This window comes from Homo sapiens, chromosome 16 (assembly GCF_000001405.40).
Source record: "Homo sapiens chromosome 16, GRCh38.p14 Primary Assembly".
Taxonomy (NCBI): domain Eukaryota; kingdom Metazoa; phylum Chordata; class Mammalia; order Primates; family Hominidae; genus Homo; species Homo sapiens.
This window is the reverse complement of record NC_000016.10, coordinates 12,816,472-12,843,206: the sequence shown is the minus strand read 5'-3', so window position 1 is coordinate 12,843,206 and position 26,735 is coordinate 12,816,472. Positions and strand designations below refer to the sequence as shown.

At 42.3% G+C, this 26,735-nt stretch overlaps 1 non-coding gene across 1 annotated transcript, besides 2 other annotated features; it reads left to right on the top strand.

Moving 5' to 3' along the window:
- Window positions 1-596: 596 nt before the first annotated feature.
- LOC124900378 (small nucleolar RNA SNORA27) lies at window positions 597-720 on the top strand. Its single transcript, XR_007065227.1, has one exon. It is a non-coding gene; the product is annotated as a small nucleolar RNA SNORA27 (small nucleolar RNA).
- Window positions 23,593-23,672: a silencer, noted in NCBI's record as "silent region_7221". NCBI's record gives its function as "represses an Ori minimal core promoter by ATAC-STARR-seq in GM12878 lymphoblastoid cells {active_cell/tissue: GM12878}" and the evidence as "EXISTENCE:reporter gene assay evidence [ECO:0000049][PMID:35858748]".
- Window positions 26,058-26,258: a silencer, noted in NCBI's record as "peak2502 fragment used in MPRA reporter construct". NCBI's record gives its function as "represses an SCP1 promoter by STARR-seq MPRAs in K562 erythroleukemia cells {active_cell/tissue: K562}" and the evidence as "EXISTENCE:reporter gene assay evidence [ECO:0000049][PMID:32103011]".

Here is a 26,735-nt window from a genome sequence, read left to right as displayed (position 1 = left end):
AAGATGTTGAGGTCAAGATGATTTAAAAGAAAAAAACAGGCTGGTGCAGTGGCTTACCCCTGTAATCCCAGCACTTTGGGAGGCTAAGGCGGGAGGATCACTTGAGGTCAGGAGTTTGAGACCAGCTGGGCCAGCATGGTGAAACCCCATCTCTATTAAAAATACAAAAACTAACTGGGCATAGTAGTGGGCTCCTGTAGTCCCAGCGACTCAAGAGACTGAGGCATGAAAATCACTTGAACCTGGGAGGTGGGGGTTGCGGTGACCCAGGATCACCCCACTTGCACTCCAGCCTGGGAGACGGAGTGAGACCCTGTCTCGAAAAAAAAAAAAAAAAAAAAAAAAGATTCCCCATTGAGACATTGAGACATATGAAAAACTAACACACAATTTATCTGGGTTACTATCATCTTTGTTAGCACATAAGCTAGGCAGATATATAAGATGTATCTCAATTCTACAATTACATCATTGGGGGAAAATCTAAACATTTTTCATGGCACATAAATTGAAAGTGATTTCAAAATAGTTTTGTCAGGGAAAACATTACTTCTGGTTTACTTACATATATTTTACTGTGTATTAAAATCTGGTAGAACCCCCTTTTCACTTTGCCAATTGGACTTATGTCTTTATTGATCATTCAAGTGAGCAAAGGAAATACGCTTTAAAAACTCAGGCAAACGGTGTTTGTCTTGTATCCCGTCAGAGGAAACAAATTGAAGTAGGAAAAAAAAAGCCTGGTAGAAAATTATTAACTCTAAATGTGGAATAATATTGAATTAACTGAGAAAATATATATATATAATCAGCTAAAGGAAATATTTTGCTATGAATGATTAATGTTCCTTAGCAAAGTTAGAGGAATCATAAATCTAAATCTAATACTTTTAAGAATTAATCTCACTTTATCTCTAATAAGCTTTGTGGTCTGTGCCTTATTATTATGTTTTGTTATTTGTTAGTTATTATTAGTTATTATTTTGTTACTAGTTGACACATAATAATGATATATATTTATGGGGTATAGTTTGATGTTTCAATATATATATGCATTGTGTAAAAATTAAATCAGGGTATTTACCATGTCGATCACCTCATACATTTATCATTTCTTTGTGGTGAGTACATTCAAAATTCTCTCTTCTAGCTATTTCAAAATAAATAATACAATATTGTTGGCCAGGCACAGTGGCTCACACCTGTAATCCCAGCACTTTGGGAGGCCAAGCTGGGCAGACCACCCAAGGTCAGGAGTTCGAAACCAGCCTGGCCAACTGGCAAAATCCCAGCTCTACATTTTTAGTTTCTATTTTTAACAAAACTTAGCTGGATGTGGTGGTACGTACCTGTAATCCCAGCTCAGGGAGGCTGAGGCAGGAGAATCACTGGAACCCAGGAGACAGAGGTTGCAGTGAGCCAAGATCATGCCACTGCACTCCAGCCTGGGCAACAGAGTGAGACTCCATCTCAAAAAACAACAACAACAACAACAAAAATATAGTTAAACATAGTCACCCTATTGTGCAGTAGGATGCAAGAACTTATTCCTCCTATCTAACTGCAACTTCGTACCTGTTGACCAATCTCTCCCTATCTCCTCTCCACTAACCTCCGCAGCCTCTGGTAACCACTATTCTACTCTCTATTTCTATGAGATCAACTTCTTTAGATTCCACATAGGAGGGGGATTGTGCGGTATTTGTCTTTCTGTGCCTGGCTTATTTCATTTAACTTAATGTCCTCCAGGTTCATCCAGGTTGCTGCCAATGACAGAATTTCCTCCTTTTTAATGGCTAAATAGTACTCCATTGTATATATATATATACCTACATATTATTTATCCATTCATCTGTTAATGGATACTTAGATTAATTTCATATCTTGCCTATTGTGAATAATGCTGCAATAAACATGGGAGTGCACATGTCTCTTTGACATATTGATTTCATTTCCCATATTTATTTCAATCCCAGTAGTGGGATCGCCAGATCATACGGTAGCTCCATTTTTAGTTCTTTGAGGAACCAGCATACTGTTGTCCATAAAGGCTGTAGTTATTTACATTCCCACCAACTGTGTGCAAGGGTTCCCCTTTCTCCACTTCTGTGCCAGCATATGTTATTTTTTGTCTTTTTGATAGTAACCATTCTACCTGGGGTAAGATGATATCTCATTGTAGTTCTGATTTGCATTTCCCTGATGATTAGCATGTTTAGCTATGATTAGCATGATTAGCAATGATGTTGAGCATTTTTTCATTTATCTGTTGGTCATTTCTGTGTCTTCTTTGAGAAATGTCTATTCAAGGCTTTTGCTTATTTGTAATTGGATTTTTTGGGGTTTTGTGCTATTAAGTTCTTTGAGTTCCTTATACATTCTGGATATTAACCCCTGGTCAGATATATAGTTTGCAAATATTTTCTCCCATTCTGAAGGTTGTCTTTTCACTCTGTTGATTGTTTCCTTTGCTATGAAGAAGTTTTCTAGCTTTAAATACTCACATGTTTTTCTATTTTTGCTTTTGTTCCCTGTGATTTTCAGGTCTTTTGCAAAAAAAAAAAAAAAAAAATCCTTGCATGGACCAATGTCAAGAAGCATTTCCCTGTGTTTTCTTCTAGTAGTTTTGTCATTTTATTATTTCAGTCTTAAATGTAAGTCTTTAATTCATTTTGAGTTTATTTTTGTATACGGTGATAGATAGGGATCCAGTTTCATTCTTCTGTATAGGGAGATCCAGTTTTCCCAGCATTATTTACCAAAGAGACTGTCCTTTCCCCAGTATAGGTTCTTGGCAAATTTGTCAAAAATCAGCTGGCTATAAGTGTGCAGATTTATTCTGTGTTCTCTATTCTGTTCCATTGGTCTGTGTGTCTATTCATATGCCAGTACCATGTGTTTTAGGTTACTATAGCTTTGTAATATATTTTGAAGGTAGTGTGATGACTCCAGCTCTGTTCTTTTTGCTCAAGACTCCTTTAGCTATACAGGACCTTCTGTGGTTCCATACAGATTTTAGAACTGTTTTTTCTATTTCTGTGAATAATGTCATTGGTATTTTGATAGGCATTGCATTGAATATGTAAATTGCTTTGGGTAGTACGAACATTTTAACAATATTAATTCTTCCAAGCCATGCACATGGGATATCTTTCCATTTATTGGTGTCTTCTTCAATTTATTTCATCAATGTTTTATGTTTCACCTCTTTGATTAGATTTATTCCTAGGCATTTTATTTTGTTGCTATTTTAAATGGGATTGGTTTCTTGATTTCTTTTTCAGATCGTTCACTATTGATGGGAAGAAACATTAAACCCAAAATTAATACGAGGAAAGAAATAATAAAGATCAGAACAGAAATAGAGACTTAATGGCCGGATGTGGTGGCTCATGCCTATAAATCCCAGCACTTTGGGAGGCCAAGGCAGGTGGGTTGCTTGAGCGCAGGAGTTCAAGACCAGCCCAGGCAATATGATGAAACCCCATCTCTACTAAAAATACAAAAATTAGTCAGGCATGGTGTGCTCAGGCGTGGTGGTGCACACCTGTAGTCCCAGGTACTCAGGATGCTAAGGCAGGAGGATTTTTTCAACCCGGGAGGCAGAGAATGGAGTGAGCTGATTGTGCCACTGCACTCCAGCCTGCGCAACAGAGGAAGACCCTGTCTCAAAACAAACAAACAACAAGAAGAAAAAAATCAACTCAAGAAGTCCCAAATCTTACCATGTAAATCATGTAAATCAGGCTTGGGTGCAACTCTGGGTATCATGAATGCTGAGGCAAAAATTCTCCTCATCTGTGGAAATGTGAAAGTATAAAACAAGTTATCTGCTTCCAAAATGCAATGATGGGACAGATATAGGACAGGCATTCCCATTCCCATAGAGAGAAAATGGAAAGAATAAGGGGGTCACTTGTCCCAAGTGAGTTCAAAACTCAGCAAGACAAAGCCAGGCACAGTGGCTCACTCCTGTAATCCCAGCACTTTGGGAGGCCGAGGTGGGTGGATCACCTGAGGTCAGGAGTTCAAGACAAGACTGATCAACATGGCAAAACCCCGTCTCCACTAAAAATACAAAAATTAGCCAGACACGGTGGTAGATGACTGTAATCCCAGCTACTTGGGAGGCTGAAGCAGGAGAATCACTTGAACCTGGAAGGCAGTGCGGTTGCAGTGAGCCAAGATCACACCCCTGCACTCCAGCCTGGGAGACAGAGCAAGACTCTGTCTAAAAAAATAAAAAACCTCAGCAAGACAAATTTCATTAGGTCTCAAGGCCTGAAAATAATCCTCAACAGGCTGATGCTCTGTCTTCTGAGCCTACAGAAGCCCTGTCAGTCTTAAGGATGTCCTCAGAGTCATTCTTCCTTTTTCTTAAAGGAAACACATGTTTGAAGCTCAGTACCTCTATGAGTTCATATCCTGCCTGTGACATTTTGGAAGTCCAACAGCTTCTCTTCATTTAATTCTGCTTCTGTCCCTTTCAATTCAGGGTGACAGTGCTTCTGCTGATATAACATTCTCAAAACTTTGTGTGTCTCCTGTGCAACTCACAGAGTCCACACAATCAGGTAAGAGGGTTCTCCACAGCTCTTTCCTGGATAACCTCATCTCTATTCCTGGCTTCTGCTAGGATGGCTGATTGTTTCCATTAGCCAAATATTCAATCTCTTTAGAAACAAGAGACAGTAGTCAGAAACAAAAAGATTAGGCCAGGCATGGTGGCTCACACCTGTAATTCCAGCATTTTGGGAGGGTGAGGTGGGTGGATCAATTGAGGTCATGAGCACAAGACCAGCCTGGGCAACGTGGTGAAACCCCATCTCTACTAAGAAATACCAAAATTGACTGGGTGTGTTGGCATGTGCCTATAGTCCCAACTACTCTGGAGGCTGAGGCACGAGAATTGCTTGAACCTGGGAGGCAGAGGTTGCGGTCAGCCAAGATCCCACCACTGCACTCCAGCCTGGGTGACAGAGAGAGACCCTGTCTCAAAAAAAAAAAACACTCAACCTCTTTAGCAAATGGTTTTCCAGCCACTCTATGGGAATATGGGAATTCTCTCCAGAGTATGTTTTAGCATATTTTGAAATACAGGTAGACTGGGATTATTTCAAATCACCAAGTTATGGCTCCTTCTTGCTTAATAGTTCTTTCCTTGATTTAACTCTTTCCTCTTTCATTTTACTATAAATGCAAGGAGAAATCAGGCCACACCTTCAACACTTTGCTTGGAAATCTCCTCTGCTAAATATGCAAGTTCACTGCTTACAAGTTCTACTTTCCACAAAATAACAGAAAACAATTCAGCCAAGTTTCCTGGCACTTTATAACAAGAACCACATTTCCTCCAGTGTGCAATAATTTTTTTGGTTTCCTCATTTCCTTTTTTTATTTTTACTTTTTTTTTTTTGGCTTTTTTGTCTCCTCATTTCCTTCTGAGGCCTCAACAGAAACACCTTTCATTATCATATCTGTACAACAGACTGTGACAATATATGTATTCTCTAAAACAATAGCAGTTTTAATTACCAGCCTCTTCCCTTCCTTTTGAGTTCTCATCAGTATATCTCCCTTAATGTCCATATTTCTACCAATAGTCCCTTCAAGGCAATCTAGCCTTCTTCTGTCAATGCGTCAGAATTCTTTCAGCCTCTACCCACTAGCCAATTTCAAAACCACTTCCACATTTTTAGGTTTTTCTTTTTTCTTTTTTTTTTTTTTTTTTTTTTTGAGACAGAGTCAACCTCTCTCAACCAGACTGGAGTGCAGTGGTGCAATCTCAACTCACTACAGCCTCTGCCTACCAGGTTCAAGCAATTCTCATGCCTCAGCCTTCCAAGTAGCCACAACTACAGGCACATGCCACCATGCCTGGCTAATTTTTGTATTTTTAGTAGGAACAGGGTTTCACCATGTTGGCCAGGCTGGTCTTGAACTCCTGATCTCAAGTGATCTGCCCGCCTTGGCCGCCGAAAGTGCTGGGATTACAGGCATGAAACACTGTGCCCAGCCAATTTGTAGATATTTTTTATAGCAGCATTCCACTTCCCAGTACCAAAATCTGTATTAGATTCCTAGAATTCCCATAAGGAAATATCACAGATTGGCTGCCTTAAAATAATAGAAATGTGTTCTCTTATAATTCTGGAGGCTAGAAGTCTAAAATCAAGGTGTTAGTAGGGTTATGCTCCCTCTGAAGTTTCTAGAAAATAATTCTTTCTTGCCTCTTCTAGCTTCTAGTTGCAACTGGCAATTCTTGGCATTACTTGGTTGGTGGCAGTATAACTCCAATCTCTGCCTCCAATTTTTTTTTTTTTTTTAGTGTCGTCCTCTGTCACCCAGACTGGAGTACCATGGTGTGATTTCAGCTCACTGGAGCGCAATGGTATGACCTCAGCTCACTGGAGCTGCATCCTTTGCCTCCCAGGTTCAAGTGATTCTTGTGCCTCAGCCTCCTTAGTGGCTGGGATTACAGGCATGCACCACCATGCTCAGCTAATGTTTGTATTTTTAGTAGAGACAGAGTTTTGCCATGATGACCAGGCTGGTCTCAAACTCCTGACCTCATGTGATCTGCCCACCTTGGCCTCCCAAAGTGCTGGGATTACAGGCGCGAGCCACCATGCCTGGCCTCTGCCTCCATCTTTACATGTCTCCTTTACTGAGTATCTTGTCCTTGTCTCTATCTCCAAATCACCCTCTTCTTTCTTTTATAAAGACACCAGTCAGTGGAGTAGGGTCCCTGCAAGCATGTATGACTTCATCTTAATTTGATTGATTACATCTGCAAAGACCTTGTTCACAAATTTGGTCACAATCACAGATACTAGGGGTTAGAACTTGAACATATCACTTTAAGGGACACAATTCAACCCATTATGATGACAACGATAATGATTGATTGGTTGGTGATAATGATGAATATAATGGAAAAAGAGGGAGAATAAGAGAAAGAAGATGATAAAGATAAATAAATATCGAGCACTTATTAAGTGCCATGTAGTATGCAAAGTGCCTTACCTGAATTATTTCATAAAATCTACCTAAAACCCCTATGAGAAACATACCATAATCACCTTATCTTCACTTTTCAATCAAAAAGACTTAGACTATGAGAGGGTTAAGACCATTACTCAAGGTCTCTCTACCGGCAAAGTAAATCTGAGACTCCCTCCATTTCTGTTGGAATCCTGAGCCTAGGCTCCCAACCACAATGCTCTCCTGCCTCTAATGATACTATGTCCTATTCTTTAGGGGCCCAAAGCCAGATAAATGAATATACTTAGGTTTTTACCTGCAGAAAAAGTATGCCAATTTTTGCCCAAAGTGAGCAGTACATATGTTGATTTTATGTGGTACATAGATGCAGGTCACACAGGGAAGATAATACTCCCCTCCGTGATTGATTGATTGATTGATTGATTGATTGATTGATTGATTTAGAAGGAGTCTTGCTCTCTTGCCCAGGCTGGAGTGCAGTGGCACTATCTTGGCTCACTGCAACCTCCGCCTCCCAGGTTCAAGCAATTATCCTGCCTCAGCCTCCCGAGGAGCTGGGATTACAGACGCCCACCACCACACCCAGCTAGTTTTTGTATTTTTAGTGGAGATGGTGTTTCACCATGTTGTCCAGGTTGGTCTTGAACTCCTGACCTCAAGTGATCCACCCGCCTCACACTCCTAAAGCTCTGGGATTACAGGCATGAGCCACCACGCCCAGTGAAATTGTTTTTTTAATTTGAAATAATGCAGACCTACAGGATGTTCCCACAAAAATAGCATGGAAAGTCCTGCATGGTGACATCTTATATAACTTTAGCGCTATATCAAAATCAAGAAATAGGCATTGGTACAATATTGTTAACTAGGCTACAGACTTCATTCAGATTTCACCAGTTTTTACATGTATTTGTGTGTGTGTGTGTGTTTGTGTGTGTAGTTCTATGCAATTTTATTTTGTGCATACCTCTGTACAACCACCAGCATAATCCTGATACAGAACCCATCACCACAAAGGAGGTCCTGGCAGTATTCCCTTTTCAATGTACTTCATTGCTTTAAGGAGAACGTCTTGGTTTGCATTTACTGTTTCTTTACCACCTAACACTTTCACTCTCCTTTTGATCAAAGAGATCTCAAATCTCTGTCTCAAGGTCCTTAGCAGAGACCAGAAGCTACCTAACAGGTATTGATACTGTTTTCTTCCCCGTCTAATTTTACACATGTCTATTTGTGGCAGGAAATACTAGTTTACCAGAATTGTGAGCAGTGAGAATTTTTCACATTTTTTTATTTTTTATTTTTATTTATTTATTTATTTATCTATTTATTGAGACAGAGTTTCACTCTTGTCGCCCAGGATGGAGTGCAGTGGTGCGATCTCGGCTCACTGTAACCTCTGTCTCCCAGGTTCAAGTGATTCTCCTGCCTTAGCCTCCCAAGTAGCTGGGATTACAGGCACTCACCATCATGCCCAGCTAATTTTTGTATCTTTAGTAGAGACGGGGTTTCACCATGTTGGCCAGGCTGGTCTCCAATTCCCGACCTCAGATGATTCACCCCCCTCGGCCTCCCAAGGTGCTGGGATTACAAGCGTGAGCCACCGCGCCCGGCCTGTTTTTCACTTTTAAGCCAAGGTATTTGAGTAACAAAAGTGAATCACAGAAAACTAGAAAGTAAATAATAACACAGGAGGCACGCAGGTAGGGCAAAGAAATTAGGGAAGATGGCATGCAAATGCTGAAATTTGCCAAACACTGGGTGAAGAAAGAATTTGGACCCTAATTCAGGTTCAGAGGTGTTTTATGGCATCCACCAGAAAGAAGCACATGTGGGCATGCTCCCTGGAAATACATTTCATTTCCCACTAAAACTGGAAATTAGAGTGCATTTGTATTTCTTTATTTTAAGGCCTTTCCATTAAAGGAGATTCAATTTGGCTGGTCACTCGCACCAGTGACTCATCTCGCCAGCCTTTGTATTCTTCATGTTATTAAACATTGCTGGTGCAGGGGCGGTGGCACTCCAGGGCTCAGACGAGGCAGTAGCTCCCTTCAGAAGGTCTGACAGGCAGCTCCCGCGCTGCAAAGCGGTGATGTCACCCAAGGGCAGGTCTGCTGTTTTCTCCAATGAGCAGGGAGGGAAATGAGGAGAGAACTCATGGAATCGGTCCCCAGAAGCACCCAGTGTGCACTGAAGCTCACACCGCAGAGATGAGGCTGAAAGGCAATAAATGCAAAGCGCTAATAGAGATGGCTCAACTAAGTGTTTAACTCATTATTTCAGCTTTCGGGTCTCTAATTGTTTCAGTAATTCAAAGGATATAGTATAGAGCTTTTGGATATATTGTTTAAACCCACACAAAGTGAGTCAAAAAATCAATTAATTTGTAAAACCTTATTGCTGGAAATAATATGAAGTCCACCGTCTTCCAGGCAACAAATTTTTCCTTGGTGATTTGCCTTATGGTCTTTGGAGTTTCACTTTGTGTGTGAAATAATAGAGTTCATTTTTTTGCTGACATCACTCATGCACTTCATTTATTCAATAATATTTATTGAGCCTCTACAATAATGAGAAACAGTAAGTACTGAGCACTAGAGATATATAGGGACTAGGCCAGGCACAGTGGCTCATGCCTGTAATCCCAGCACTTTCTGCTAAGGCAGAAAGATCGCTTGAGGCCAGGAGTTTGAGACCAGCCTAGGCTGGTCTCAACATAGTGAGACCCTGTTGTTAAAAAAAAATAAATTTAAAAAGCTAGCCGGGGCTGGGCATGGTGGCTTATGCCTGTAATCCCAGCACTTTGGGAGGCTGAAGCGGGCAGATCACCTGAGGTCAGGAGTTTGAGACCAGTCTGGCCAACATGGGGAAATCCCGTCTCTAATAAAAATACAAAAGTTAGCCAGGAGTGGTGGCCCACACCTATAGTCCTGGCTACTCAGGAGGCTGAGGCAGGAGGATCACTTGAGCCTGGGAGATTGAGGCTGCAGTGAGCTGTGATCCCACCACTGCACTCCAGCCTGGGCTACAAAGTGAGACCCTGTATCAAAAAAAAAAAAAGAAAAAAAAAAGGTCAGGAGCAGTGGTTTATGCCTGTAATCCCAGCACTTTGTGAGACCAAGGCAGGTGGATCACTTCAGGTCAGGAGTTTGAGGCCAGCCTGGGCAACATAGTGAAATCCCGTCTCTACTAAAAATACAAAAATTAGCCAGGCATGGTGATGCACATCTGTGGTCCCAGCTACTCAGGAGGCTGAGGCATGAGAATCACTTGAGCCTGGGAGGTAGAGGTTGCAGTGAGCCAAGATCCCGCCATTGCCCTCCAGCCTGGGCTACAGAAAAAGACCCTGTCAAAAAAAAAAAAAAAAAAAAAAAGAAAGAAAAAAAAATCTGTAGGGATTGAGTAAATACAATTTCTTATCTTCTTGGAGCTTACATTTCATGGAGGAGGCAGAAAATAAGCAGATAAACATATGTCATGCCACATAGTGATGTGTGCCATAGAAACAAACAAATACATATACATATACATATACATATACATATACATATACATATACAGTAGAAGAGTAGGGGAGAGAAATGAGAGCCCTCTTCTCATTCAGACGATACTCTAAGTGATGAATCAGTAAACATTTATTGAACACCTACTATGCACTAGGCATTCTGTTGGTGGGGAAGAAGGAACAGGTGAAATCAAAAGAATTGGTGAGCACACACTTTATGGACAAGACAGAAACAGCAATAATAATTACTATACAGGATCGGGTGTGACATTTTCCCCAATATTCCTCCAAGGCACGTGTTGTTATTCCCAGGGACTGGGAAAATTTAAATTACTTTTCACAGTGGAAAAATGCCAGCACCAAGATTCTAGCTCAGATCTGTTTGGTTCTGAAATGATTTCACTCATGCCACACTCCCTTCTCTGTACAGATGGAATTGGAGAAGAAAATGGTGAATTCAATACCCTTGGTGTTACAGCTAGGTACAATACTGTGAAAAGATCATCAGTTGCCAAATATAAACCAAAACAAAAGGTCCTCCTAACCGAGCTTTATCATTTTACTAATGAATTAGAAGGTATTTGAGGACCTTATAGATCTTGGGTTCATCATTCTGAATATCAATTGTTATTAGTTATTGATACATGGAAGTATTGACCAAAAAAGGTTAATATACTTCTGAGGCCATGTGCAGTGGCTCATGCCTGTAATCCCGGCATTTTGGGAGGCCAAGGTAGGGGGGGATCATCCGAGGTTAGGAGTTCAAGACCAGCCTGGCCAACATGGCAAAACCCCGTCTCTACTAAAAATACAAAAAAAAAAAATAATTAGCCAGATGTGGTTGTGGGCACCTGTAATCCCAGCTACTCAGGAGGCTGAGGCAGGAGCATCATTTGAACCTGGGAGGCAGAGGTTGCAATGAGCCAATAACATGTCACTGCATTCCAGCCTGGGCAACAAGAGGAAAACTCCATCTCAAAATAAAATAAAATTCACAGCTTGTCTCGAGCACTGTGCGATGTGGGCAGCAGCTGCTCTGTCCCACATGCAAACTCTCCAGCAGGTTAAGACAGCTGCAGCCCACATCATTTCAGGGGAACTCTGAGTGGGTTAGAGAATCTGACCAGATGTTGCCCCTTGCATCTTTTTTATTTTTTAGTTCCTTCTCCAAAGAGGAAGACCAGACAATTTAGTGGTTACGCTTCTGCTATAACAGAAGTCTGTCTACCATTCTGTGCTGAAGGGAAAGACGGAGTACAGATGGGAAAACTACTATCTACTAAGCAGTTTAGACAGTAGGGTGCAATGCACAAAATGCAGGATCTTTTTTGTGGGTGTCACAGTCTATCCCTACGTTGTCATTGGAGAGAGGAGAGGGGAAATGTGGTACAGATTCAGGCAGATGGTAGGCGGGTTCATAGGAAGATGAAGGGAGAAGATAAAGAAGACAAAACCATTTTCTTTGAGAGTAGAACAGACAGGGTCTTGCTCTATCACTCAAGCTGGAGTGCAGTGGCATAATCCTAGCTCATTGCAGCTTCAAAGTCCTGGGCTCAAGCAATCCTCCTCCCTCAGCCTCCCAAGTAGTTAGGAGTAGATGTGTGCACCACTACATTTGGCTAATGTTTAAAAAAATTTTACTAGTTCCTTAGACATGGAGTTCTCCCTATGGTGACCAGAATGGTCTTGAACTCCTGGCCTCAAGTGATCCTCCTACCTCAGCCTCCCAAAGTACTGGGATTACAGGTATGAGCCACCATGCCCAGCTGACTGTTTTCTTTATCTCTTCTTTCTTCTCCTCAATATTTCTTTAAACTTTGCAAGTCTTCCACAATGATTAAGGGTTGCTACTAAAAAAAGAAAAATCTAAACTAAAAAGAAGGCTAATCTCCTTCTTTTTTGACATTAAAGATGGCCTAGGCTGGGTGCAGTGGCTCACACCTGTAATCCCAGCATTTTGGGAGGCGGAAGCAGGTGGATCACATGAGGTCAGGAGTTCAACACCAGCCTGGCCAACATGGTGAAACCCTGTCTCTACTAAAAATACAGAAAAAAAAAAATTAGCTGGGCATGGTGGTACATGTCTGTAATCCTAGCTACTCAGGAGGCTGAGGCAGGAGAATCACTTGAACCCGGGAGGCGGAGGTTGCAGTGAGCTGAGAGCACACCAATGCACTTCAGCCTGGGCGACAGAGCAAGACTCTATCTGAAGAAAGAAAAAAAGGCTTAATATGTCAACTTTACTCTTAAAACATGAGTAGACTAATTTGTCAATAATCATACCTTTTCAGGAAAATGTATCATTAATAATTGGATATTTCAGCCGGGCGCAGTGGCTCACGCCTGTAATCCCAGCACTTTGGGAGGCTGAGGTGGGCAGATCACCTGAGGTTAGGAGTTCGAGACCAGCCTGGCCAACATGGCAAAACCCCATCTCTACTAAAAATACAAAAATTAGCTAGGCGTGGTCATGGGTGCCTATAATCCCAGCTACTTGGGAGGCTGAAGCAGGAGAATCACTTGAACCCAGGAGGTAGAGTCTTCAGATAGCCGAGAATGCACCACTGCACTCCAGCCTGGGCAACAGACTGAGACTCTGTCTCAAAAAAAAAAAAAAAGAAAAAAGAAAAAAAAATGGAAACTCAAAATGACAAAACATAATAATATTATAGCTAGCATTTCCTGTGCACTAGCTCTGCGTGAAATGCCCATTCCAAAGGATTTCTCCACCTTGGAACCATTGGTATTTGGGGCCAGATAATGCTGAGTTGTAGGGGCTGCCATGGGCATTATAGGATGTTCAGCAGCGTCCCTGTCCTCTACCCCCTAGATGCCAGTAGCACCACCACCACCTCCCCTCAGTATGACGGCCAGGATGTCTTCAAACACTGCCAACTATTTCTGGGTGACATTTGAGAACCACTTCCATACAATTTTTCACAGCATCGTTCACGGCAAGGGCGATATTGTGATACCCATTTTACAGATAGGGAAACTGAGTCTCAGAGAGATATCTTACTGCTAGTCACAGAGCTAATAAGTGAAAGAATCAGAACTCAAATCCAACTTTTCATAACTCCATGTGATATTATAATTATGGTAACTACCAAGGAGTAAGCATTTATCCATACCTTCAGGCACTGTGCTAAGTAAGTGCTTTATGTGTATACCCTCATAGAATCCTCACATCAACTGTATGACATGGATACACTCATATTTATTTCACTAAATAGATCCTTGTTTGCAAATGGCCTTGATGAAAACTCATTATTCCTGCTCTTTTTGTAAGAGCAAACTGAGGCTCAGTAAGGTTATAGAACTTGGCCAAGGTCGTACAGCTGAAAAGCTGTAAGCCTGAATTGGAATATAGCTCTGTCTGACTCCACAGCCTATGGTCTTCGCCAACACAAATACCCACAAAGCCTGAGGTCTCATTATCCTGCACTCTTTGCCAATGGAGGATGGGAGAAAATGAGAAACTCTGATTTACTCATACAATTACAAGTAAGGGGCCAGGCGTGGCGGTGGCTCACACTTGTAATCCTGGCACTTAGGGAGACCGAGGCAGGTGGATCACCTGAGGTCAGGAGTTCGACCTCCTGGCCAACATGGTGAAACCCCATCTCTACTAATAATAAAAAATTAGCCAGGTCTCGTAGTGCATGCCTGTAATCCCAGCTACTTGGGAGGCTGAGGCAGGAGAATCGCTGTAACCTGGGAGGCAGAGGTTGCAGTGAGCTGAGATCATGCCACTGCACTCCAGCCTGGGCAACAGAGCAAGAATCCATCTCAAAAAAAAAAACAAAAAACACAGGTAAGTTCTGCTCTAATTGAGCTCAGTAGTCACTCATTCATTCATTCATCACTCATTGCCTATGCAGTATTGCATAGTCCAAAGAGCATGCTCTCCAATCCTGCTCTACTAATTACTTGCTGTGTGGCCTTGGGCAAATTACTTAAGTTCTCTGAGCCACAAGCTTCATTTTCCTTATCTATAAAATCAGATAATTACCTAGGTTTTAGGATTATTATGAAAACAGCATGAAATAATGCATGGAAAGTGTGTAGCCTAGAATGACTACACAGTAAGTGATCATTAACAATTTTTAATAAATTTTGTTGTTGTTACTTTGCAGAAGGAATTGAGCTGGTACATTCTGAATGCATGCAAAGTAGAATAATATGAAAATAGCCAAAGAAAAATCATCATGCCAGGGAAATACAATTGAAATGCCAAAGCAATCTCTAAGCAGTATGACAGGACAGCATTTAACTGCTGTCCCATATGTTAGCTTTTGGGGAAAAAAAAATTGCACATGAACTCATGTTTGTCATTAAAATTTTTTTAAAAAAAGCTTTTGACTTTATGTTGGCAAATGCCAGGAAATATACTTACAACACAAGTTACACTTTAAAAAAATGAAAATACATCTACAATTTTCTAGATTTCTTGTCATCATTTTTGCCTGTTTCTACTTTGAGGATTTGGGGGCGATAAAGAAAACAACTTCTGTTGCTAGGAACATTTCAATAAATGAAGATATATTGCTGCCCACAAAGATGCCCCATGAACCAGTCCTCCTGCTCTCCCACAAACCAAATTATACACAGATGTATGGCTGAGTCTGAAGATGTTTGTTAAGACTAGTCATTTTAATTCTGAACTTAGTTACAGATTCAAGACATAAAAGGGGAGGGAAAAAAGGTTGAGGGAATAATCTAAATTCTTTCTCCCAGGGAAGTTTTGTTTATCTTCTTTGAATCTAATCATCTGCCCGATTTGTATATTTCTTTATGCAAATTGGTCAGATGTTCTAAAAATCATATAGGAAGGCTAGGTCTAATAGCTCAGGGTCAAGATTTAGCATTGGAAGTCTTAAGGTCATTAGTCTTCCTTTCTAAAGTTACCTCTTAAGAAAATTCATAAAACTAGTGAATTCATTCACTTTGGATGGATCTTTCAGTTCTCACTTGAGAGAACAGATTTAAAAGGGTAACCCATTGAGATAAACACTGCAGTCCATGTTGGAATAACCAGATTAATATTTCTAAAAAGTAATCAGATTAATTTCTGTGGAAGGCAGTGGAGCTTAATGGTTAACTGTTGGGAGCTTCAGACTTGGATGAAACTGGCTTCACATCCCAGCTTTGCTCTTCAATTGCTGTGGCAGGTAGACTCGATATGGCCCCAGTGATTCCCACCTCCTGGTCTTTGTGCACTTGTGTAATCCTCTCCCCTAAGTGTGTATTGCCCTGGTGGCTTGATTCTAACCAACAGAATATGGTCAAAGTAATTGGATGCTACTTCTGTGATGAAACTACACAAGATGTGAGTTTTGTCTTGCTAGAAGTTTCTGTCCCTTGCTGCTTTGATGAAGCAAGTTTCCATGTTGTGAGCCACCATGTTAGAAAGTGCCATGTGCCAAGGAACTGAAGGTGGCCTCCAGCCAACAGGAAACTGAAGCCCTTGGGCCAAGAAACCTGAAGGAACTGAATCCTTCCAACAGCCATGTAAGTGAAGTTGCAAAGCAGACCTTTCCCCAGCTGAGTCTTCAGAGGTGACCCCCACCCTGACTGACTCCTCAGTTATAGCCTCTTGAGAACCCATAAGCAGAGTATTTAGCTAAGCTTTGCCCAAACTCCTGGCTCCCAGCAACTGTCAAATAATAAATATTTGTCATTTAAGGCTGCTAAGTTTGTGGTAATTTGTTAAGTAGTGTATTAGTCTGTGCTCATGCTGCTGATAAAGACATAGCAGAGACTGGATAATTTATAAAGGAAAGAGGTTGAAGGGACGTGTTGGACTCACAGTTCCAACATGGCTAGGGAGGCCTCACAATCATGGCAGAAGGCAAAGGAGGAGCAAAGTCACGTCTTACCTGGCAGCAGGCAAGAGAACATGTGCAGGGGAACTCCCTTTATAAAACCATCAGATATTGTGAAACTCACTACCACAAGAACAGTATGGGGGAACCACCCCTATGATTCAATTATCTCCACCTGGCCCTGCTCTTGACACGTGGGGATTATTACAATTCAAGTGAGATTTGGGTACAGACACAGCCAAACCATGTCAAGTAGCAATAGATCATCAATACAGTAGCTATGCCACCTTGGATGAGAGAATTAACCTCTCTGAGCCCAAGTTTTTTCTATGTAAAATGTGGATGCCAATACTTACTTCTCAGCGTGGCTGTAAAGATTCAATAAAACAAATGCTTAACATTGGAGCTGGCACCTTGTCAGCTTACTTTAAATTTACTTTTATTTTATTGATAATATTCTGTACTCATGATGCACACCAAACTCAGGAAATAATTAATGTGATATACAGGAATTTTAAATATATAAATCAGTTTTTTTAGAAATCACATACCAGGAAATTCAATGTTACAGTTGTCACAAAAGGAGGCACAGTTTCAGTTTTGTAAACAAAAAATAAAATTCTAAGGCCCATGTGAATGGACCCCCTCCTCTTAGCCAAGGACATTCCAAAGTTAACCTAACTAGTTCAGACCATGGTTGGGGGAGAGTCGGACATGCCTCCTTATACTCTCCCTGCTTTTGAAATTCAGGAAAAGCCAACCAGCATTAACATCAACACAGACCTTAAAGTTGATAAGAAACATTTACAGGCCAGGCACGGTGGCTCATGCCTGTAATCCCAACATTTTGGGAGGCCAGGGCAGGCAGATCACTTGAGGCCAGGAGGAGTTCAAGACCAGCCTGGGCAACATGGTGAAAACCCATCTCTACTAAAAATAGAAAAATTAGCTGGCCATGGTAGTGGATGCCTGTAATCCCAGCTACTCAGGAGTCTGAGGCAGAAAATCGCTTGATCCCAGGAGGCAGAGGTTGCAGTGAGCCAAGATCACATCACTGCACTCCAGCCTGGGCGACAGACAGAGCAAGACTCTGTCTCAAAAAAAAAAAAAAAAGAAAAGAAAAGAAAAAAAAAAAACCATTTACAATCTATTATCTCCAAAGCCTGCTACCTGGAGGCTTCTTCTGCATGATAATACTTTGGTCTCTACAACCCATTATCATAGCCGAGATATTCCTTTATATTGATTCCAGGTCTTTAGATAATAACTTAACTCTTTTAGTCAATTGCCCATCAGAAAATCTTTTTTTTTTTTTCATAATTTCATTTTCTTTTTTTCTTTCTTTTTCTTTTTTTTTTTTTTTGAGATGGAGTCTCACACTATTGCCTGGGCTGGAGTGCAATGGTGTGATCTCAGCTCACTACAACCTCCGCCTCCCGGGTTCAAGCGATTCGCCTGCCTCAGCCTCCCGAGTAGCTGGGATTACAGGTACCCGCCACCATGCCAGGCTAATTTTTTGTATTTTTAGTAGACACGGGGTTTCACCATGTTGACAAGCTGGTCTTGAACTCCTGACTTCGTGATCCATCCGCCTCAGCCTCCCAAAGTGCTGGGATTATAGGAGCCACCACGCCCAGCCCAGACAATCTTTAAATCAACCTATAACCTGGAAGCCCCCGTCTCGAGTTGTCCTGCCTTTCCAGCTCGAACCAATGTACATCTCACATGTATTGATTGACTGATGTCTAGTTAAAAGGTATAGAAGCGAGCTGTATCCTAACCACCTTGGGCACATGTCATCAGGAAATTCTAAGGCTGTGTCACAGGCATGTCTTTAACCTTGACAAAATAAACTTTCTAAATTGATTGAGACCTGTCTGGCACATCTGTTTGGGCTCACAGTTTCTACTGCCTGATTCTTGTGCAATGCAAGTTGAGGGGGGCACCTGAGTATCTGCATGCCAGAGGAAAGATCACCCCAAAGAGAGGCAACGGGAAACAAAGATCCACAGAAAGAGGAGTGCATACATACTTCATAAGAGTAAACCAGTTTAGGGCTGGGCACAGTGGCTCAAGCCTGTAATCCCAGCACTTTGGGAGGCCAAGGCAGGCGGATCATCTGAGGCCAGGAGTTCGAGACCAGCCTGGCCAACATGGTGAAACCCTGTCTCTACTAAAAATACAAATTTAGCTGGGTATGGTGACTCACGCCTGTAGTCCCTGCTACTTGGGAGGCTGAGGCAGGAGAATTGCTTGAACCTGGGAGGTAGAGGTTGCAGTGAGCCAACATTGCACCACTGCACTCCAGCCTGGGTGACAGAGTAAGACTCCATCTTAAAAAAAAAAAAAAAAAAAAAAGAGTAAACTGGTTTACCCATAACTTATAGTTTAGTTTGCCAAGTGTGAGGGATATTGGGGAGCCCCTTACACTATTGATGGGAAAGAGAACATGGTGACAAAACCCATCAACAATTTATGTGTATGTGCTATTTAGCCCAATAATCCCATTTCTAGGAACTTATCCTAAAGAAATTCTCCAAAAAAGAGCACCAATATATTTAAGCTGTTTATTGCAATAGTCCTCATAGATAGTAGGTTGAACCATATGAAATGACTGGTATTTGGCCATTTTTGACCAATGAACACAGCAATTTCATAGAGTTCTACCTAAAAGAACAGCATTTGAAACAACTTCAGAATCCACGTGCAACTGTAAAACTGTGGACTATTTTATACATACACATATATGGCATATCAACATTTACATACACACACATATATATTGGTATATATGACATCAGCGTATTAAGTAAAGAAAACAGCTGACAAAATAACATTCCTAGGCCATGCAAAACAATGACTTTGGGAGGTCAAGGCCAGTGGATCACTTGAGTCACAGGAGGTGGATCACTTGAGTCCAGTAGTTCAAGACCAGCCTGGGTAACATGGTGAAACCCTGTACCCCGTCTCTTAAAAAAAAAAAAAAAATTAGCCAGGCATTGTGATGCATACCTGTAGTCCCAGCTACTCAGGAGGCTGAAATGGGAGGAACACTTGAGCCTGGGAGGTGAAGATTGCAGTGAGCCATAATCACACCATTGCACTCCAGCCTGCGTGACAGAGCAAGAACTTGTGTCAAAAAAAAAAAAATTTAGCGAGGCATGGTGGTGTGTGCCTGTAGTCCCAACTACTCAGGAGACTGAGGTGAGAGGATCACTCGGGCCTGGGACATCAAAGCTGCAGGGAGCCGTGACTGCGCCACTGCACTCCAGCCTGGGTGACAGAACAAAACCATGTCAACAACAACAAAAAAGAAAATAAAAGAAACTCATTTGTCCTTTATTGCTTTAGTATTTCATGAAGACCATAATTTTATCAGGCAATAAAACTTCCGTGGAGGTTTAAAGAAGTTCCTTCAATTTCACACATTACCCTTTGCATTAACTGTAACGTCAGAACACTCAGATGGCCAAGAAAACATGAACAGTCCACCAGCAAAAAAGGGTTGGATAAGGAGAAAAAAAAAATTGGAAAGAATTCGATATACAATATTTCAAAAATATAAGCATCTAAGTGCCAATGATAGAAAAACATCAGAATTTTATTGGGCTTTCTCATCCTGATTTTGGTATTATTTCCATTACGAAGAAAGGGGCACTACGATTGCAGTTCTTGGGACTCTAAAAGCCTTGAGCCAGTGTTAGCTTCATGTAATTTTTAACATGGACTTGACCCAGGACATACTGTTTCCAAAGAACAGCTTCTTCTCATAAGGCAGGGACAAAACAGGAAAGCAAATCTCCTTGCTCTCTTGTTTTTGAATGTCTTTTGCTCTAATAATCTGTGTCAAGAACTGCATGGCTGAATGTCATACTGTGTTGTGCTTGCGGCTGTTGTGCACATTGTGATAGAGATGTTTACAACTGGATGGTGGGTTGTCACAGCACAGCACTGGGGACAGTGGCCAGCACTGCTCAGGAACACAGCTGAGGGCCGGGCGCAGTGGCTCTTGCCTGTAATCTCAACACTTTGGGAGGCCAAGGCAGGTGGATCACCTGAGGTCAGGAGTTTGACATCAGCCTGGCCAACATGGTGAAACCCTGTCTCTTCTAAAAATACAAAAATTAGCCAGACGTGGTGGTGAGTGCCTGTAATCCCAGCTAATCGGGAGGCGGGTCTTTCCCATGCTGTTCTCATGATAGTGAATAAGTTTCACCAGATCTGATGGTTTTAAAAATGGGAGTTTCCCTGCACAAGCTACCTCATTCTTCTCTTGTCTGCCGCCATGTGAGACATGGCTTTCACCTTCTGCAATAATTGCAAGGCCTCCCCAGCCATGTGGAACTGTAAAAACATTAAACCTCTTTCTTTTGTAAATTGCCCAGTTTCAGGTATGTCTTTATCAGCAGCATGAAAATGGACTAATACAGCCTCCTTGAGACTTCTCTTGTTTCCATTACCTAGCACGATTCCATCTAAACTCTTCTTTTCTGTGTCCTTTCATCCTTCTCATGTTCTTAACCTTAACCATCCTTAGCCATAGGTGAATATTCTCTGTCCTCAGTTCTCTGTTCTTCTTTTTTTTTCTTTTTTTTTTTTTTTTTACACTTACACCCATGATGTAGCTCAAGGGTTATATGGTTTGGCTCTGTGTCCTCACCCAAATCTCCCATCGAATTGTGATTTCCAGTGTTGGAGGAGGGACCTTGTGGGAGGTGATTGGATCATGGGGGCGGATTTCTCACTTGCTATTCTTGTGATAGTGAGTTCTCATGAGATCTGTTTATTCAAAAGTGTGTAGCACTTTCCCCTTCACCCTCTCGCTCTTCTGCTCTGCCACGGGAAGACGTGCCGGCTTCCCCTTTGCCTTCCGCCATGACTGTAAGTTCCCTGAGGCCTCCCCAACCATTCCTCCTGCACAGGCTGCAGAACTATGAGTCAATTAAACCACTTTTCTTCATAAAATTATCCAATCTCAGGTAGCTCTTTATAGTAGTGTGAAAATGGACTCATACAAAGATCTTACTATCATCTCTACTCATGTAATTTCCAAATCTGCACCACTAGCTCTGATTTCTCACTGGACTTGTATTTCCAGTGGATATAGAGGTGAACTATAGACACACTGAGCTGAAAGGAACTTTAGAGAGTGTTTAATCCAGAGACCTCAAACTGAATGGCTCAGGGGGCCAGGAAGGTAACATAAATATAAAGCAGGCTGGGTGTAGGTGGCAAATGGCAACTGATACTGGACCTCACCATCAGGAATACAATAGGGCATGGTGGGGGCTGTGGAAAAACAGGGGACCACATGTCCTATCTACAGGGATCAGCTTCTGCCAGTTTCTGGAGGCACAAGTCTGAGCTTTTGTGTATCATCTCCCAATTGTCAAATGTTGCTAGAAAATTAAAATGTAAAACCCTGTGTAGAATAAACAAACCATATCTGCTACCCATTTGCTCTTCTGATCTAACGCAGTGCCTCCATTATTTATTTATTTTTATTTTTTGAGATAGAGTCTCACTCTGTCACCCAGGCTGGAGTGCAGTGGTGCAATCTCAGCTCACTGCAACCTCCACCTCCCAGGTTTAAGCGATTCTCATGCCTCAGTCTCCCGAATAGCTGGGACTAATGGCATGCGCCACCACACCCAGCTAATTTTTGTATTTTTAGTAGAAACGGGCTTTCACTATGTTGGGCAGTTTGGTCTCAAACTACTGACCTCAAGTGATCCACCCACCTTGACCTCCCAATGTGCTGGGATTACCAGTGTGAGCCATCATGCCCAGCCAGTGCCCTCTTTTTTTAAAGATCAAGTGGCTTGGGCTCAGAAGGGTTATGTGATGGGTTCATTGTTCACATTTGGCAGAGCCATAACCAGAATTCGGCTTTTCTCACTTCAAAATCCCTCAAAATCTGCTTGTTCAAAAATTAAATCATGGGCCAGATGCAGTGGCTCATGCCTGTGATCCCAGCACTTTGGGAAGCCAAGGTGGAAAGATCGCTTGAGCCCAGGAGTCTGAAATCACCCTGGGCAACATAACAAGACTTCGTATCTACGGAAAATAATTAGCAGGTGTGGTGGCACCCACCTTAGTCTCAGCTACTTGGGAGGCTGAGGTGGGAGAATTGCTTGAGCCCAGGTGTTCAAAGCTGCAGTGAGCTGACATTGTGCCACTGGACTCCAGCCTGGATGACAGAGCAATACCCTGTCTCAAAAAATGAAGAAAAGAAAGGAAAAAAAGAAAACTAAATATTTTTCATTATTTCTTTATTTTATTTTATTTTATTATTATTTTTTTGATACATAGTCTTGCTCTGTCACCCAGGCTAGAGTGCAGTGGAGTGACCTTGGCTCATTGCAACCTCCGCCTCCCAGGTTCAAGCAATTCTCCTGCCTCAGCCTCCTGAGTAGCTGGGATTATAGGCGCACACCACCACACCCGGCTAATTTTTGTATTTTTAGTAGAAATGGGGTTTCTCCATGTTGGCCAGACTGGTCTCAAACTCCTGACCTCAGGTGATCCACCTGCTTTGGCCTCCCAAAATGCTAGGACTACAGGCATAAGCCATGGCGCCCAGACTCTTTTTCTTTCTTTCTCTTCTTTTTTTTAAGATAAAATTGACTTTTCCCAGTATCCCATTTCTAAGAGCAGAATCATTTTTTCTCGATTTTCTCAGGCTAGAAACCCAAGCCTGTGATTTCTGTCTTGCTGTCTTTCTCATTGCATCCCTCCCTTCATTTCTTCTTCATTCCGACTTCCAGACCCTTACATTTAGCCACTTCAGGGCTCAGTTGCTCTCCTCATGCTCAGTTCCTTTCAACCACAACCATGGTTTGTCTGTCTTAAAACAGCTCCTCTACCTAGCTGATACGGTTTTGCTGTGTCCCCACCCAAATCTCATTTTGAATTGGAACAGTCCCCACGTGTCAAGGGCAGGGAGAGGTGGAGATAATTGAATCATAGAGGCGGTTTCCCCCATAGTGTTCTCGTGGTAGTGAATAAGTCTCATGAGATCTGATGGTTTTATAAATGGGAGTTCCCCCGCACACGCTCTCTTGCCCGCCACCACGTAAGATATCCCTTTGCTCTTCCTTTGCCTTCCACCATGATTGTGAGGCCTCCCCAGCCATGTGGAACTGTGAGTCCATTAAACCTCTTCCCTTTGTAAATTACCCAGTCTTGGGTATGTCTTTATTAGCCGCATGAAAATGGACTAATACACTAGTACTCAAGGTTCTCCACCATCTGGCCCCATTAACCACCCAGGGATGTATTCTCTTCCCTTCCCTCCTCGCACAGTCTGTTACCCACTCTCACCTCCAGGGGGCGCGCAAGACCCTCCTCCCTTTCCGCCAGTTGACTTTGTTGACCAAAGATCGCAATTGAGCCACATTAAGGGGATGAAGGCAGAGCACAAGATCAGAAGTAAATTCTGATTCCTCCCCCTCTTGAAAGCATCCTGGCCAGTTTCATCTATTTCATACAGGTTAAATAATGTATTTAACATTTAATATAAATTAACTTATTTTAATTAATATAAATTAATTTAATTAATAAATTAATTATTGATGTAAATTAATGTTTAATGCTGATAATAATAACAGTTACTTTTTTTATGAGACAGAGTCTCGCTCTGTTGCCCAGGTTGGAGTGCAGTGGCGCGATCTTAGCTCACTGCAGCCTCCCTCTCCAGGGTTCAAGCAATTCTCCTGCATCAGCCTCCCTAGCAGCAGCTGGGATTACAGGAACGCACCACCATGCCTGGCTAATTTTTGTATTTTTTGTTGAGACAGGGTTTCACCATGTTGGCCAGGCTGGTCTCAAACTCCTGACCTCAAGTGATCTGCCTGCCTCCACCTCCCAAAGTGCTGGGATTGCAGGCGTGAGCCACTGTGCCTGGCCCAGGTACCATTTTTGAGAGCTAACCACGTGCAGGTCAATGTGTGTTTTCCTGCAGTTTCTTATTTCATTTCCCCCAAAACTCTATGAAGTATTTCATTTTGAAGATGAAGACACTGTGGTTGAGAAAGACTAGGGGACTTATTCAAGGTTATATGGCCAGTGGTGGGGCTGAGATGCTACCCAGTTCTGTGGCCTCCAAGCTCTCAATCTACGTGTGATGCCTTCCCACAGCCCTGGTGGTGGGACCCACGTCTAACTTCTTTGCATCCTTCACGCTGCCTCAGATTTCTCATCCATCAAATGGCAACAATAACAATCTGTATTAGTTTCCCATGGCTGCCATTATACAGTACCACAAACTGGGTGACTTAAGATAGCAGAAATAGACTCACTCTCATATCTGGAGGCCAGGAGTCTGTGATCAAGGTATTGGTGGTGCCATACTTCCTCTAAAGGCTCCAGGGGAGAATCCTTCCTTGTCTTGCCTCTTCCTAGTTTCTGGTGTTTTGTTTTGTTTTGTTTTGTTTTGTTTTTGAGATGGGAGTTTCACTCTTGTTGCCCAGGCTGGATTGCAGTGGTGTAATCTCGGCTCATTGCAACCTCTGCCTCCCCGGTTCAAGCAATTCTCCTGCCTCAGCCTCTCAAGTAGCTGGGTCTACAGGCTTGTACCACCATGCCCAGCTAATTTTGTATTTTTAGTAGAGACAGGGCTTTTCCATGTTGGTCAGCCTGGTCTTGGACTCCTGACCTCAGGTGATCCACCCACCTCAGCCTCCCAAAGTGCTGCGATTAAAGGTGTGAGCCACGACGCCCAACCAGTTTTGTTTTTTTAATGGTCTTGCTCTGTTGTCTAGGCTAGAGTGCAGTGGTGTGATCTCAGCTCACTGCTACCTCTGCCTCCTAAGCTCAAGCAATTCTCCCGCCTCAGCCTCCTGAGTAGCTAGGACCACAAGTGCACACCATCACACTCAGGTAATTTTTAAAATTTTATTGCAGAGACAGGTTCTCGTTATGTTGCCCAGGCTGCAATTCTCCCACCACAGCTTCCCAAAGTGCTGGGATTACAGGCGTGAGCCGTCATGCTGGGCCCTAGATTCTGGTGTTTTCTGTTATCCTTGATATTCCTTGTCTTATAGATGCATCCTAGCCACACACTCTAATCTCTGTGGTTGTCTTCACATTGCTTTCTCTGTGTGTCCTCTTCTCTTCTTAAAAGACATCAGCCCAGGCACGGTGGCTCATGCCTGTAATCCCAGCACTTTGGGAGGCCTAGGCAAGAGGATCACTTGAGCCGAGGAGTTAAAGACCAGCTGGGCAACATGACATCCAATCAGAAACTCCCAGAGTGAAGTCTTAGGACGAATATGCTTGAAAAGCTCCCCAGGAAATTGTAATGTGCAGCCAGGATTAAGAACCACTAATTGAGACTAATATGCTCAGAGTCTGAAGAGAGAAAATCCAGAATCCTGATGTTGGAGTGCCTCTAGCTACAGACCTTATTTCTCCAGAATATTATATCCTCAATTAAAAAAAAAAAAAAAAAAAAAACAGGCTAGGCCAAGCCTGGTGGCTCACGTCTGTAATCCCAGCACTTTGGGAGGCCGAGGTGGGTGGATCACTTGAGGTCTGGAGTTTGAGACCAGCCTGGCCAAAATGGCAAAACCCCATCTCTACTAAAAATACAAAAAAAAAAAAAAGAAAGAAAATTAGCTAAGCATGGTGGCAGGTGCCTGTAATCCCAGCTACTCGGAAGGCTGAGGCAGGGAGAACTGCTTGAACCCAGGAGGTAGAGGTTGCAGCGAGCTGAGATTACACCATTGAGATTACACTCCAGCCTGAGTGACAGAGCAAGACTCCATCTCAAACAAACAAACAAAATCTAAAAAAAAACAAGCTAGTGCTTTGGGAAGATAAAAACCAGCAAGACTTGACAGATTCAGACATGTGTTCCTTTTCTTAGGAAACAAGAGAAGGAACACTCTATAATTTTTTTGTTGTTGTTTGTTTTTTTAAGATGGAATTTCACTCTTGTTGCCCAGGCTGGAGTGCAATGATGCAATCTCGGCTCACTGCAACCACTTCCTCCTGGGTTCAAGCAATTCTCCAGCCTCAGCCTCCTGAGTAGCTGAGATTACAAGCACCTGCCACCACGCCTGGCTAATTTTTGTATTTTTAGTAAGGAAGGAATTTCACCATGTTGGCCAGGCTGGTCTCCTGACCTCAAGTGATCTACCCACCTCAGCCTCCCAAAGTGCTGGGATTACAGGCATGAGCCACCGTGCCTGGCCAAAAATTTTTTTTAGAAGATATCAGTCATTGGATTTAGGGCCCACTCCAATCCAGTATGAGTATTAACTTGATTACATCTGCAAAGACCTGTCTTACAATTAAGATCAAATTCACAGGTTCTAGATGGACATGAATTTTCTGAAGACACTCTTCAATCATTCAATCCTATGCATAAAATTTCAAGACTGTGGTGAAGCTTA